At 40.5% G+C, this 16,153-nt stretch overlaps 1 protein-coding gene and 1 long non-coding RNA gene across 7 annotated transcripts in view; one reads left to right on the top strand and one right to left on the bottom strand.

Moving 5' to 3' along the window:
- ITPR2-AS2 (ITPR2 antisense RNA 2) overlaps window positions 1-16,153 on the bottom strand; it is a 103,881-nt gene that overhangs the window by 15,471 nt on the left and 72,257 nt on the right. Inside the window, exons 2-3 of the long non-coding RNA NR_199072.1 lie at window positions 6,483-6,677; window positions 701-871 (exon numbers count right to left, since the gene is read on the bottom strand). This is a non-coding gene — a long non-coding RNA (ITPR2 antisense RNA 2). The remainder of the gene's footprint in view (window positions 1-700; window positions 872-6,482; window positions 6,678-16,153) is intronic.
- ITPR2 (inositol 1,4,5-trisphosphate receptor type 2) overlaps window positions 1-16,153 on the top strand; it is a 497,843-nt gene that overhangs the window by 425,861 nt on the left and 55,829 nt on the right. For 5 of the 6 annotated variants that reach the window (NM_001414174.1, NM_001414175.1, NM_002223.4 and 2 more), the window contains 2 exons: window positions 7,076-7,206; window positions 8,293-8,458. In NM_001414174.1, coding sequence (NP_001401103.1) covers window positions 7,076-7,206; window positions 8,293-8,458 — 297 coding nt within the window. Of the gene's footprint in view, window positions 1-4,310; window positions 4,492-7,075; window positions 7,207-8,292; window positions 8,459-16,153 lie in introns of those variants that run through there. The other variant, XR_001748686.3, reaches the window with a different exon arrangement.

Raw genomic sequence — 16,153 nt, 5'->3', positions numbered from 1 at the left:
TTAATAATGTTAAGCTTGATAAACTGTTCTGTTTGGATGTTATTCATGACCCTGAATACAAACTCTTATAAAAGGCTTCCCAGGAAAACCTCTATAACCTGCACTTCACCTAATATATTACACAAAGAACATCATTTCTCCTTCCTATGAACAAATGGTGATTTGTTCCTCCCAGGCACATTGGGGGAAAGTCTCCATCTTTTAGGCTGCAGCAGAGCTAGGAGTTGGGGGAAGAGGTGGAGATGATTTTGTAAGGATAGCTGCCAGAGTAGGGAGGAAAGCGAGGATTCCATCTGGAGAGTGGAGGAGTTTCATCTCTGGAGATGTGTCACAGATACTGCTGGAAGCCAGAGATGGTGGCAATAGCTTTTCACAATTAGGGAGTATTCCTACATTAGTAATAAAAATACAGGAATGCCTGTATTAATCTACTGTTTCTTCCATACACTTTTTGTATTTGACATTGTAAGTGATAAAATTCATCTGTTTGAAAATGTTATGGATTTGATCTGCTAGCGTTTGGCACTTTTAAATTTTGACTGCATGTAGTTAACTGCAAAAGTAGAGTGAAAGCTAGAACCTGGGGTTTGTTGTGCAGCATGTGTCACTTAAATTTAAAAATAACTTCTATGTCTAAGACCAGGATTAAATTTTAACTTGCAAACCCTAGTGTGCATCCATGACAGCCTTAGTTTGTTACCTTGTGGACAGCAGGTCCATGTTACAAAAGGTACAGACATACACAGTAGCTTAATAACAAGCCTCACGGTGACTAGGAGGCAGAGTGGCCAGCTCCCTCAGAGGGCTCCTGTGGATGCAGGGAAGGTCATTGTCCCAGCGCCAGAAAATTCACGCAGTAACTGGCAACCAACTGTGTTTAAAAAAAAAAAAAAAAAAAAAAAAAACTTCATATTTCATTTGCTGCAGACCTCCCTGGTTCCTGAACAAAAATATTCACCTTAAAAAAAGCAAGGCCTTTTTGCAACAATTTACAAAATACAATTACAATTATTTTATAAGTAAAAATCATTCGAATGTACAGAAAAAAGGACAAAGTTCACAGACACTTAACATTTATGAATAATTCAAATTTAATATGTTTGGATATTTTACTTTAATAGAAAAGATTGATGAATACCAGAAACCAGTCAGCCTTAATGCATTCTACATTTTGGCTTCCCACTGGGTCCCCAGTGTTTTAAATTTTTTTTCTCGTTAAAATTTTTATTTCTTATTATTTATTTATTTTTCCAGCAGTACTGACATTTTGGATATAGTTGAAATTTTTAAAATCAGCATTTCCACCAATGAATTGATTATAATTAAAGCTTAAGACTGACAGGCAAGAGGTTTTTTTGTTTTGTTTTTTCTTTTTTGTGATGGAGTCTTGCTCTGTCATCCAGGCTGGAGTGCAATGGCACAATCTCAGCTCATTGCAACCTGCACTTCCCAGGTTCAAGTGATTCTCCTGCCTTAGCCTCCTGAGTATCTGGGATTACAGGCATGCACCACCACGCCTGGCTAGTTTTTGTATTTTTAGTAGAGAAGGTGTTTCACCATGTTGGCCAGGCTGGTCTTGAGCTCCTGACCTCAGGTGTTCCACCCACAAGAGGTGTTCATTTGCACTCATACTTTCAAACGTGTCTCAGTGACAATCCCTTGTTTTCTAAGAAACCATAACAAACACTGAATTTAATTATTAAAGCAGAAAAATGGCATTATTAAATACCGTTATTCAAGCATGGCCAATATTTTTTAAAATTTATAGATTAACACCTCAGATTAGAGGGAACTATTTCAGAGCCACTAAAATATGTTTGTATTCCTTCCCTCATATAAAACATTTTATTTGCATTATAAATTAAGAAAAAATACTGTATTTTACTAGTCAACTGAGAATGAGGATTATTTAACCTCATAGAATTCAAGATTAGAATTTGTTTATTGTTTTAAAACCAAAACTTTTCATGAGATTTAACCACTATCTCTCAGTAATGATAATTATGATAGCTAGAATGTATTGAGTCCTAACTATACGCCAAGCACTGTTCTAAGTTCTTCATAGGTATATATTTAGTTCTTTTAAATGTCTCCACATTAAAAGTCTATTTTCACTAATTCTTTACTTTTGTTTATAAGCAACATGTTCTCTCCCTCCTCCTCCTCCTTCTTTCTTCTTCTTCTTCTTTTTTTTTTTTTGAGACAGAGTTTTGCTCTTGTTGCCCAGGCTAGAGTGCAATGGCACGGTCTTGGCTCACTGCAACCTCTGCCTCCTGGGTTCAAGTGATTCTCCTGCCTCAGCCTCCTGAGTAGCTGGGATTACAGGCTTGTGCCACCATGCTCAGCTAATTTTTGAATTTTTAGTAGAGACAGTGTTTCACCATGTTGGCCAGGCTGATCTTGAACTCCTGACCTCAGGTAGTCTGCCCACTTCAGCCTCCCAAAGTGCTGGGATTACAGGCATAAGCCACCGCACCTGGCCCTCTCCCTTCTTTTATAACTACCCCTGTGTTTATCATTACTTCCTGGCCACCATCAGCTGGACCATTGTTCTTACATCTGAAATCTTTTCCTTGTCATCATCTGTTCTCTCTCTTTCTTCCTACACACATCTTAGGTCCCAATTCAACCTTCCTCTGGGTTTTCTTATTCCCTGAAACTCCCAGGAAACTACTAGTCTCCTTCCTTCAGTACCAAATTTCCCTATAAAACAGTTGACCGACCCTCTCTCCTTTAATTTCTGCACTGCTTTTTCTCTACCATTTGCCTTCTTCCTACTGTTTCCTGATGACCCTATTGTTTAATCCAGTGACTATTTTTTTGCTTCTCATTGCCTTTGACTATTCTGCAATTTTGACATCTTTAAAATTATTGTCTTCCTTAATTTGGATCACAGTATCCTCTGAACTCTCTTGTCCTCTCTGACTTTTAAAAATGTTTTATTGTCTTCTCATTCTATAAACATACAAATCATCTGAGATGCTTTGCTTGCCTTCATCAAAACACCCTACAACCAGTTCTTCCTTCTAAATGGTCTATTTCTATGGTCTAATGGGACGATCCTTTTCCTAAGTCACCCATGGCTGGGAGGCCTCAGAGTTGTATTTAATGCTGCCTTCCCCCTTCTGCCTACAGTTCTGTCAGCTTCCTTTCATTCATCCTTTGCCTCTTCTCTCCCATTACCCTGGTTGAGGCTCATAGAACATCATGCCTGAATTATTGCAACTGCCTCCTAAGTGGTCTTTCCACCTCCAGTCATTCTTTCCTCTTCAATTCACCCAGTATATCACCACTAGACTATTTGTCAGAAATCGCTGCCTTGAATATTTCCTCCCCTACCCCAACTCAGGCTTTCCATGATGCTCCATTTCCCGCCCAATAAAATCCAAACTCCCTACAGCTTCACAGAGAGCTCCCAGTTTATCGCTCCAGCTTCGTCTTCCACTCCTCTCACCCATACTTACTGGTTTATTTGCTGTTCATCGTACAAGCATACATTTTTCTACCTCTGGGGCTTTCTGTCCCTGGCACTTGAGATGCCTTTCTACTCAAGTCTTAGTACATTGATGAGTCAAGGCAAACTCGATTCTACTACTTAATATAGAGTCTACATTAATTAGAGGGACTCCCCTCTATCTCTGTACAGTTTATCTCCCTATTTCTGTCTCTTTGCATCACTGCTACTTCTGCATTGTTGTTTGTTTGCTTGTTTTTTTTAGAGACAGAGTCTCTCTGTCACCCAGGCTGGAGTGCAGTGGTGTGATTATAGCTCACTGCAGTCTCCAACTTTTGGGCTCACATGACATTCCCCCTTCAGCCTCCTGAGTAGCGGGGCCTACACACGTGTATCACCATGCCTGGCTTCCACTTCTGTGTCTTTTACCACATGCTAATTTGTCTTCTACATGTTTTATCTTGTACTATTTCACCAACTGGCTGGATAGCCAACTTACCCTGTTGAAAGTCTTCCAGTGCCTCCCCCTAATTTCAAGATTAAGTTTAAATTCTTCAGCTTGATGTGTGAGTCTCCTTATGACCTGGTACCCTCTTGCGTTTCTTCTCTCACCTCCCACACCCTTCTGTGTTTACCAAAGTCTAAATCATTCCCATCTTCCTGAGTTTCCCAAAACACCCCGCATGCTTTTGTGCCTGTTTGCCTTTGCTCATCCTGTGTTATCTGCCTGGAATGTCTTCCCTCATTGGTTTTACTGGCCAATCATGACCCTCTTTCAAAATCCAACTCAGGTGATACCCCCTTCAGGATACTGAAGCCCTCATCTGTGAGATATGCATCTGTTTTGCCTCCGCAGCATCCTGTGATACTGCACTGCCCTTGTTCAGCTGCTGACCCACCTTTCCTAGGGACCATAAATTTTCTACAGATGGGACACTTCCATCCTTCTCTCATATATTCCTAGCACCTCGTCCAGCGGCTGTTGGAGTAGTGAAAGGAGGCAGGTGTGGCATGGGCAAGGCCAGCTGATTACACAGGTAACCACAAGGTGGCATTTACTAGATGAATTTACCATGACTCAGAGCCTGACTTTCAGGCTGGATGCCTGGGAACTTGGCTTACCATATTGAGAGTGGCTGCATCTCACGAAGGTAGAACCTTATTAACTGAGGGCATAGAGGCTTCTGTATAAAATCAGCATGCATGTGTACTGATTATCTTGAGCAGGATGATTGCTGGCATTGACCTGACCAGGGTGTTCTCCTCCCATTTACATGACACTCAGAAAACCAATTCTCTCATTATAGATTTTTCAGCCAATTCGTTTTATTCCACAACAGCTAATCACATGAATTGTGTGTGGATTTTACTGAGCTCACCTGTTAGAGAACAAACAATCTTATTTCTAAATTCTCGGAGAGAGGTAGAAGCCCTCTCCTGTAGCGTTTATGTGCTGATTAATCAGCATTTACTAAGCCTTTAACAAACACCTGTGACATGACCAGGTAGTTCCTGAATGAATAAATGAATGCAGATCGTGACGCTAGATAGACGGTAGTGATGGGAAGTCCAGTTGTGGCAAAGTAGCATGTAGACATGCTCCACATGACCTGATTATTGGAAAATGATTTTTCCCCTTAAAAGCCCCTTTTGCTCTCTTACACATTTCTGACTGTTTTTCCTCATATTCTTCTCAGCCATCATGTTGGCATCTACTGCCATGTATGGGGGGACCTCACTAGCACATTCCAGACTGAGCTTCCCCCACCCTTGGTCTGGCTTCCTTGTCTGCACTGCTGCTCTGATTGCTCTCACCACAGGCCCTACCTCTTCCCTATTTCTCCTTCCTCCAAAGGAGTTCTAGTTCTCCTACTTTTTAAATCAGAATGTGCCTTGGACTCAGCGCTAAGGTAAGTGACCAAGCACAGATTCTGCCAATGTCTTTGATGCTGCATTTTGCACTTGCACCTTCATCTCTGACTTCAGCCCTCCTCTCAAGGTGTATCCCAGCATGTTTTAAAAGGAAACAGCTCCAAAGAAAGTAAAAATATCAGGATCCCTTATCCATAGAATGTTAAAATAAAGTCGGCTCAGAAGAGGAAAATTAGCCTTTTCTTAACGAAGTATCAAAGGCACTGTAGGCATGAAGCACGTAGATAAAGTTGGACTGAATTGTTCTTCTTGTTTTTATACGCATGCCTTGACGGGCATATTGTGGCTGCATAATCCCAAAATTTATCACCCCTGTGGTTCTTTAACCTTGTAGTGAGAAAAATACATTTCTGGTCATTTGCCAGTGTTAGGAATTTCTGATTCTAATATCCAACTTAGTATTAATTTTTCACTACTTTAAATGGCTAAGAAATTATGTTTCAAGTTGGATCCCAATACCTTTAAACAAAATAAGAATAGGAATTTTTCTGTCACATTATGTCTTTTTCTCTTTCCTCCTTTATCCCTAAATAGAATTTTTCACATAAATACATTGTGCTTCTTATCAAGAGCTCCAGGTTGGTCCTCGAGAAAGCTTAGACACTTAACCGCAGTAATGAAATAATATCTGCCCCAATTTTTAAGCAACTATTGTGTGTATGCCAATCTCTGTGCAAAGTATAATATTTTACATACCCTAAATGTATTTTTTTTTTTTAAAGACAGAGTCTTGCTCTGTTACCCAGGCTGGAATGCAGTGGTGTGATCTTGGCTCACTGCAATCTCTACCTCCTGAGTTCAAGTGATTCTCCTGCCTCAGCTTCCCTAGTAGCTAGGATTACAGGCACACACCACCATGCCTGGCTAATTTTTGATTTTTAGTAGAGATAGGGTTTCTCCATGTTGGCCAGGCTGGTCTCAAACTCCTGACCTCAAGTGATCCACCCGCCTCGGCTTCCCAAAGTGCTGGGATTACAGGCATTAGCTACTGCCCCAGGACGGCTAAAGGTAATTCTTAAACAACCCTCTGAAGAGTGTAACCCCCAAACGGCCCTCCCCATTTTACAGATGAGGATCCTAAGGTTCAGCAACTTGCCTGAGTCCCAGTGTGGGAACGGAGCAGAATTGGAAGCCAGGCAAGCTTCCTTGTTCACGCTCTCTCCCCTGCAGTCCTTTTGCCTCCTGGGTAACGTGGCTGTGTTTCCAGGTTTTGCCACAATCTCTTCCTACCATAACAAGCACAACGAATGTGAGCCTTATGTTTTGTGCTTTTTGTCCTGTTATTTTCTACCTATAGAAGAAACAAAATATTTGAGGACATTACATATGTGGCTTCATCATTATGTGTCAGTCATGTGCTGCCACATATGGAACAGATGCTGTGTGACTTCCAAAAGTTGTGTCACGGCACAATTAGAAATAGCCCTTTGGAAGGAGGTAATGGTATTTTTTTAAAACGTAAGTTTGCTACACTTTTTAATATTATATTCATATACATTTGTATGTATCTTTTATTTTATGTATATTTAGGTATATTTATTTATTGTATGTATATTTACATATGTGTATAAATTTACATACTTATGTATATGTATGTATATTTATTGTATGTATATTTCATTTTATGTGTATTTTATTTTATATATTTTTACATAATTTTATATCATATATTTGTATGTGTTTTTATAGCTGATGAAGAGTATGAAGATGGAATTGAAAGGACGTGTGACACTCTCCTTATGTGCATTGTCACCGTGCTGAACCAGGGCCTCAGGAATGGCGGTGGTGTGGGGGATGTGCTAAGAAGGCCATCGAAAGATGTAAGCCAGAGTAAAAGTATTTTTTCAAGGAGCACATCTTTTTTTTAAACCTTTCTTCACAGCATTTATAATTTAGTTTTGGTTTTCAGGAAAATATATTGTACCATTTGCTTTAAAAGTATAACCATGGCTGTTAAAGCCAATTAATTGTTTGCTAGGATTACATAGCTAATGTACTACAACTCTTTGTGTGTTCGTAGAGTGGTGAAATGTTTCCAAGTTAATCTGTGTATTGTATTACAGCAATGAAATCATGACTGCGAACTTTATATAGGAGTTGATTGTTACACAAATAACATAAACGAGGTTGCCTCTTGCCTATCAGGTTTCTTGAGCATGAAGATTTACTCTTTGCTTCTGCATAGGAATAGCCTCCATCATTTATCTATGATAAATATAACATTTGAGCAAATTCTAACAGGATTTCATATATTAAAATGGCAAAGTGGAAACATTTCTCACTAGCTGCAAAATCTCAAGTGCCAGGCTGGGAGCTTGAAGAATCTTAGCTCTGCTCCGGCCAGTTGTATCATATTGTCAAATCATCTAACCTCTTAACCTCAGGTTCCTCTTCTGTTAAAAAACTGGATTGCCTGGTCTCTAATTTGCATTTTAACACTGTTCATCAGGAAGAAATAAGAAGGAGCTATATATACTTGACCCTGTATGGCCAAGAATAAAGCCTACTCCAGAAATTGACAAGTCATTAGGTCCTCCTTAGCTCCCCAATCACTGACTTTTGGAATTGACATTTAACTACCTTTTCTGTAATGTCTGGGATAGGAGACCACTGTGCCAAAATGCATTTAGCAGAATGGCATAATAAAGTCCTTTCTAAAGAAAGTGAAGTCCCACCATTGTGGGAAAGACATGTGTCAGTCCTAGAGAAATGTAAGTGGTTCTGGAAATAGGCTAGGAAGTTTTTCTTACAACACTTAAAGTAGAGATGGAAAGTGAGCCTTATTTTTCCAACTTGGGATACTATTTATATTCATTTCACAAACATTTATTGAATATACTCTCTATGCTAGACAGTGTGCTCAATCACTATGCCTAGTGTGATTTTTTTAAATATTTTTATTTCAGGAGCCCTTGTTTGCTGCCCGAGTGGTTTATGACCTTCTTTTTTATTTCATTGTTATCATTATTGTTCTGAACTTGATTTTTGGTGTTATCATCGATACTTTTGCTGATCTCAGAAGCGAAAAACAGAAAAAAGAAGAAATTCTAAAGACAACTTGTTTCATCTGTGGTAAGTGTTCGGCAGATGCTAAAATAATAGATGAATAGACTGTTTGCAGGAAAGAGGGGCTAGAGGGATTTTTATTTTTCATGCTTTCGGAAAAATTATTTCAAAATGAAGGTTGGATAAAATTCAGATTATGTAACTGAGCATTAGACTGGAATTCTCTGCTTCTATAAATAGAGAGAGGAATTATACCCCAAAGCTATCCTGTCATTATTTCTGTGATTTACATGATTCTCTGACTATAGAAATGTGATGCAAAATGCCAAAAGGTTTCACCAACTGGCAAACAGATTTTTAATCACAGTAACATATTTATTATGCAACAGAATCACATTTAATTTTGTTAGAATATGAATCCAAATATGATTTTTCAGCATCTTGAACTTCTACTCACTGACATCACTATGTTTTGGATTCTGAACTGAGCCTTCTCTCTGTTTGTTTGTTTGTTATTTTGAGATGGAGTCTCGCTCTGTTACCCAGGCTGGAGTGCAGTGGCACGATCTCAGCTCAGTGCAACCTCTGCCTCCCGGGTTCAAGTGATTCTTCTACCTCAGCCTCCCTAGTAGCTGGGACTGCAGGCATGTACCACCACACCTGGCTAATTTTTGTATTTTCAGTAGAGCCGGGGTTTTGCCATGTTGGCCAGGCTGGTCTCGAACTCCTGACCTCAGGTGATCCACCCGCCTTGGCCTCCCAAAGTGCTGGGATTGCAGGTGTAAGCCACCGCACCCGGCCCTTCTCTCAGTTTTTAATTTCTCTCTCTCTCTCTGTCTCTCTTACACACACACACACACACACACACACACACACACACACACCACTCCCCTCCCCTTCTCCTGTCATCATCTCTCCTAGTGCACACAGCCTTCTCCTTCCTTCTCATTGCCCTCATCATCCCCCTCAGCTCTGCCCTCTTCTCTGTACCCATCACCTCTTTCTGGCTTCAGTTGTCTTTGTAGCTGGTCTCTCGGCACCCTAGAATCTATCCTCTTCTTTGGGTGATCACCCACTCTAGGTTTCATTCACCCTCCTTGTTGCCACATTAGGCTGAAAAAAATCTTTTGGTGATAGTCACAAAACAAGCCTAAGGGTTCACTACAACGTTACTGTATGTAACAAATTGGGTCCTCAATACATTTCATTCTCTCCTTGCTTCAACTTTTGTTGAGTGTTTCGTTCACCTCAATGTCTCTCCAAACCTTTTCTACCTTCCTCCAACAGTTGTAGGTGTATCAGGTAATAATGTGTAATATTATGCTATATTCAGTGGAAACAAATAGAAAGCAGTCATTCCCTGTTTTGGGGTGTTCACGATCTATTTTGGGATACAAACACAATAAATAGCCTTGATATCTCATGCATTGAAGGAAATGGTAGAGAAGTTTACAGGAAGCTGCAGGTACCCAGAGGAGGGATACCTCTCCAGCATGGGGTAGGGAGTGAGAAAGAAGAGTCAGGAAAGCCTTTAGAAGAGATGGTGACTGAGCTGGTGGTAAAAGATGAAAGGGAGAGGTTGCCAGATCAAAGTGAGTACAAGCAGAAAGGCCAGGATAAGCAAAGTCATGGAGGTGGAAGAACAGTACAAGGGTCTTCACTTACTCTAAAGCAGCTCAGTGTTGCTGACGTAAAGTTCAGAGCAGGGCGTGCTAAGAGATGAGGTTGGCCAGACCACGCATGGCCTTTTATATTAGGCAGTTTGGACTTTATCATCTGGACTTACAGTGGAAGATGAACCATTAAAGAATTTTAAGTAGAACACTGCAGGGTCTATTTTTTTTTTTTGCTTTAGAGCACCATGGCAGCTTTGGGAGGTCATTCATCAGGAAACAGTACCAGAAGCAGAGTCATCAGGTAGGAGGTCATTACCACAGTCCAAGTGAAAGGTAATGAAAGCAGGAGAGTTAGTGGTGGCAGTATTAAGGATAGAAGGCAGAGTCAAGAAATATTTAGGAGATAAAATCTTTAAATCTTGATGCTTAGGAAAGGATATGAAAGATAGCTGGGATGCCCAAGTGGATGGTAATACTAACAAGTGATTGAGCTTGAGAATAGATGAAAAAAACAATTTAGGTAGGAATATGCTGAGTTTAACTTTGAGAATCCTGAAATTGAGTGTGTACTGACCCACCCCAGTGGGATACAGCACAGATCAATTCATGAGTCTGAGCCTCAGAGATTGAGTCTTCGCTGGAGACTATAACTGGGGAATCCTCAGCCTATGTGTGATAGTGAAATCTGGAGTGTGGAGGAGGGTGTCCGAGTGAGAAGAGAAGCAGAGAGACTACAAGTGGAAAGCCCCAGCTTTGAAGACTTAGGAGAGAAAGAGGAGCACACACCAACAACTCAGAGTACCAAGTCAGAATGGTGTGAGGAGAAGCAGGAAGGGGTGGCCTGTGGAAGAGAGGGGAGAAAACAGCTTTGGAAAGAAATGAATTCGTTATCAACTCTGCCCAAGCAGAGAAGGCCAGTAACATGACCTAAAAAGCCTACTGGTTTCTCATTTAGGAGGCTTTGGTGAATTTAGGTAGAGTGGATTGTGCAGTGCTGAGTAGAGATTTGCTAGAAGGAAACTGAGAGAGATCAGGAAGAGGCTGAGAGGACACTCCATCAACCTTGGAAGATAAATATACCTCCTCCTACCTTTATAGAAAAATAACCCACACCCTGTATTTTTTTTTCTATTTTTCTCTTTATGTGACAGCTATCACCACCTCCATTTCTTCACAATAGATGTATGTGTGTCTCCTTTCTTTTCTTCTCAGCAGATCCTTCAGGCTTTCCAAGGATGATTCTTTCTTCCCTTGGGTCACCTCACCTGGAGCTCTGTCCTCTTTCAGCCTTATCATAAAAAAATTTTTAAATGATTATTTATTGAATACTTACTACATGTCTGGCTTTTCACTTAGGTATTTCTTTTCATTTTATTCTTAAAAAATGAATACTATGTATGATGTATATTACCACTCCTTTACAAACATGGAAACAGAGACTTGGCTCCCGTCAACATCCAGTTAGTAAGCAGAAGAGCCAAGATTTGAGCGGAGGACTACCTAACTCAAAAGTCCACTCAGCTATCCTATTCTAAAATGACAAAGTGACAGGTTCTCATTCAAGCATAACCAAGCCTGAGAACAGATCCTGGTGGAAGGGTATAGCGTTATGGGGCCAAGCTGTTGTTTAGAAGGGTGAGTCCCATACAGGAGAATGATGCTGCCCTCAGAAACCTCTCTGTGTATCTCGTGGTCTTTCTTTTGCACTGCTTCTTCCTCCATGCCCTTTTTTTCACGGTCATAATCATCATCATGTTGGTACACTACCTCTGAAAGAGATGCTCTTTGGAAGAATGGACCAGAGGCTGGAAGCCTCATTCTAAGACATGATATTGTCTCCTATATTTTAACCAAAAACATGAACAGCAACGTAAGCCCATTGCTTACCCAAGATTCCTGCTCCTCTAAGCTTTCCCTTCTCGGTCAGAATTCTCTTTGGCTTTTCACAGTTATTAAAAAGCCAGTCACCTATAAATTCCTTTAAACATCACAATAACTGTCATCAACAAATTGAAGTGTTCTTGAATCTCACTGTTAACTTCCCGCTGACCTTTTATTCTCCCTCTGCTTGCTTTCTCTGGGTCACAGGGTCCTATTCCGTCTCCCAAAACCCCTTAATAGAAGGTTTTGATTTTGCCCTTGACTCCTTGTCTCCTCTCTGTCCTCCTCTTTGACATCACTTTTATGTAGATTATTGCCAAGTATGCATGCTCAGCTCCAACCTTTCCCCAGGCTTTCCCCTCTGTTTTCAGTCACTCACTGGACAGTTAGACAGGCATGTCTTCCCGGCAGCCAAACCGGCCATGTCTGAAGCCAGTCCATCATCCCTTTCTGTCTCCCTCCTCTAGCCTAGCTCTTTTTCCTGACATCCATATTGCTATTAGTAATATCCCACAGTGCCTTCAGTTATCTGAGGGAACCACACCATCATGTTTAGCATCTCCTTTTTTCTCTTCCAGGTGCCCTAGCTACCATGCGCTAATGAACCCACCTTCACAATCTCACCCACATCCTTCCACACATTCCCACAGCCACATCTTAGTTTTTCAGGCTAACCCGGGCTCACAACCCCAAATGGTCTGCTCGGTGTTGCCAGACTAATTTTTCCACTCTGAATTAATCATTTCCTTACTCAAAAAGCCATCAATAACATTGCACAGTCTATAACTCTGTAACTTGAATTTTCCTGGCATCTAAGCTACCCCCACAATCTGGCCCCTTCTTTTTTTGCCTACCTTCTCCCCTGTTGTTCTCCCATTTATAGCTCAAGTTCCAGGGCAACTACATTACTTACCTTTAACTTCCCAGACTCTCCATGTATTCTTAGTTGTGGGAGAACAATTTCATTTGGAATGCCCCAATTCCTACGCTGTTGAACTCCTGCCCTCTCTCTGAGGCCCAGCTCTAATGCCATTGTTCTAGAAGTCTTCTCCGATCTCACACATCGGACCCTAAATTCCTCACATCACACTTAGCTATATAGCACTGTACATATTTCTGTTGTCTGATCACCTCTGCTGGATGCCATGCATTCTCATATCAAAGAAAATGCATGAACTTTATAGACAAGTAGTCATAGGTCTACACTGGTTCTGCATCCTTGCTATGTGATCTTGGCCAAGTTTCTAATCATCCTGAGCTATTGTTCCCTCACCTGGAAAATGAGGAATATAATGCCACGGTTTGGTGTTGTGATGAGTATAAATGAGATCATGTATATCAAAATCTCTAGCACGAGGCTTAACTGAGGGTCTGCCCTCAACACATGTTAATTTCTCTTCTTTAAGAGAACCAGATCCATGTCTTATCCATTTTTTTTTGCTTTCATAATGTGCATTGGTGAATATCCATAAATATTTGCTTAATGAATGACTATCCAATAAGTCAGCCTCAGGCTGATATTGTCTCTATACTTGTCTGACTTATAATCTACAAAAGGCAGATAAAATATTGAGATTGTATATACTGCAGACAACAGGTGTGCTGATTCCAGGTTGCTCCAGATTTTGTTACATGCAGGGTATTGTTTCTGTGGAGTGCTGCCCACAGGAATGTAGGGTGACATTGCAGGATGCACAAAGAGATGTAAGATCAATATTGTCTGTTTTCTAGAAGCTTCATGTTTATTCAGAAATCTGAGGAAACACTTAAGTAATTTAAACTAAGTGTAAATTTAAATAGTATTTTTATATTAGAACAAATAGAATATTGTAAAATAGAACAAATTCAGCGTGAATATTTAAAATAAAATAGAAACTTTTTTAAAAAATGAATAATTGGCTTCAGGTACTTTTTGCTGCTACTTTCTGTAACCTCAGTAACAGAAAGGTATACATTTTCTGCTCCCTTCCCTTAAAGGACCTTGAGCAGAAACACATAAGAAGCATTATGATAATGTATATCTAGATATGCATTCATTCCCAGAAGCTCCAACCACACAAATGATATAATTCATCTCATATATGTTAGGAGAACTTAGTTACAAGAATGATTTAAATGGTTGGGATATTTGGGGGTTGTGCTAGTAGGCTATAAAATAGTGACTGGTCTAGACATGGTTCCTGGTAAAGTTGGATGTGAAGTTGTGATCCAAAGAAGGACATAGTACCAAATAACAAAGGAGAGAATCTCCATAGTAAGAGAGAACTGGCTCCAGGTGTGTGCCAAGGGACACCCAGAGTAGGACAAGAGGATGTAGATTCTGTGACAGGCAATGGACCTAGTTGGAACTTTCCCAGCCTTGAAGACAATGTCCAGATGTTTGGAAGTGAAACATGACTCAGAAAACAATAGCTAGTGATCCAGAAGGTGGCCCTGGAGGGTGAGGATTAGCAGATGACAGAGCTGAGCAGGAAGCAGAGACACAGATTAGCTCTTGCATCCATATTAATTATGAACATTGAGTTACTAGAGGCTGAAGATCCAGTAAGAAAGAGATGTCGAAAGACCAGGTGTGACAAAACAACAGAATGGAGAAAGGATTTGATGATAGGTCAGAATTCCTATTCTAAGGATAGGGTATCTTGCTGTGGCGATATTATCATAAACTCAGTCATTCAAGTATCATAAACTCAAGTTATTCAAGTCAGAAAATTCAGAGTCATTACTGATTTCTCCTTCTTCTAAATCTATATCTCTAATTGGACATCAAGCCCGTTCAAGTTTTCATTCCAAAATGCCTCTTCAGTCTCTCTTATTCATTTATTTAATTATTCTGTCAAATTTAGTTGCATGCCTACTGTTCTCCAGACACTGCCAGGTGCTGGTAATGCAAAAATGAGTCAGACAGTAAAATGGTAGAGGCTAAGATGGAAACAGGCACATTTTCATAGTGAAGTGTTGTGGGCCCAGAAGATCAAACAGCTGGTTGTGTCTGTGGGAGTCGGTGGTGGAAGTGGGGAAGCTTGAAGAAGGAATACTTGGAAGGCAGAAAAGAGAGTAGATGAAGGTGTCTTGGTGTATTTGGCGAATGATGAGAAAGTCAGCATGACTACAAGAACTGTGCTGAGTGGAATGTCAGTGCATGAGTCTAAGAATGACTTCAAGTTCCCTGGTCAACAAGGACTTCATTAACAGAGACGAAGAAGAGGGCTCAAGAAACACATTTTTGACGAGTTAAGTTTGACATCCCCACAAGCTATCCAGGTGGATATATACAGCAGGCAGCTGGAAAAAGGAGTGGAAATTGAGAAGAAAGGTCAGTACTGGGGATAAAGATTGAGAAAACATCAGCAAGATGATGGTAAAACCGTGAGAATGGATGATGAAGCTTAGAGAGCAAGAACTTACGAAGATGAAAGACAACCAGTTTCCCTCTTTTACATTTCCCCCTCCACTGCCCTGGTGCCTGGGTCTTGCATCCTTAGTCTCTTATCCCAATCTTCCCCTGAATCCTGCCACAGGAACGACTTGAAGTATAGCTCTGAATACACTAGTTTCTACTCAGAAGCTTTCAGAATAGGCCGGGCACGGTGGCTCATGCCTGTAATCTCAGCAACTTTGGGAGGCCGAGGCGAGCATATAAGCTGAAGTCAGGAGTTTAAGACCAGCCTGGCCAACATGGTGAAACCCCATCTCTACTAAAAATACAAAAATTAATTGGGCGTGGTGGCACATTCCTGTAACCCCAGCTACTCGGGAGGCTGAGGCAGGAGAATCGCTTAAACCTGGAAGGTCGAGGTTGCAGTGAGCTGAGATCGCACCACTGCGCTCCAGCCTGGGTGACAGAGCAAGACTCTGTCAAAAAAAAAAAAAAAAAAAAAAAAAAAAGGAAAAGAAGAAGAAGAAGAAGAAGCTTTCAGAATAAAATACAGATGCCTTAGCTTTGAGTTTAAAGCTTGCCGTTGTTTCTGCCAGATGTACCATTTCATCTGCATCTCCAAATGTTCCCTTTCTGCCACACCAGAGTAACTGACATTCCCTAAACAGGTCATGTACCTTCATCTCTGGCTTTTCCATGCCATTTTTCCTGCCCAGATGGCAAAAGAACATGGGCTTTAGAGTCAGAAATATTTTTATTTAAATACTAATTGACTCTTCCGCTAAATAGGGATATTAACTTGAGCAATTTATTGAATCATTCTGAATCTATTTCCTCACATGCTAAAAGGTCAGATTGGATTATTGTAATTATAATAGCATATTT

This window comes from Homo sapiens, chromosome 12 (assembly GCF_000001405.40).
Source record: "Homo sapiens chromosome 12, GRCh38.p14 Primary Assembly".
NCBI classification, from domain to species: domain Eukaryota; kingdom Metazoa; phylum Chordata; class Mammalia; order Primates; family Hominidae; genus Homo; species Homo sapiens.
Note: the sequence above shows the minus strand (reverse complement) of the source record. Positions and strands in the feature narration are given on the sequence as shown.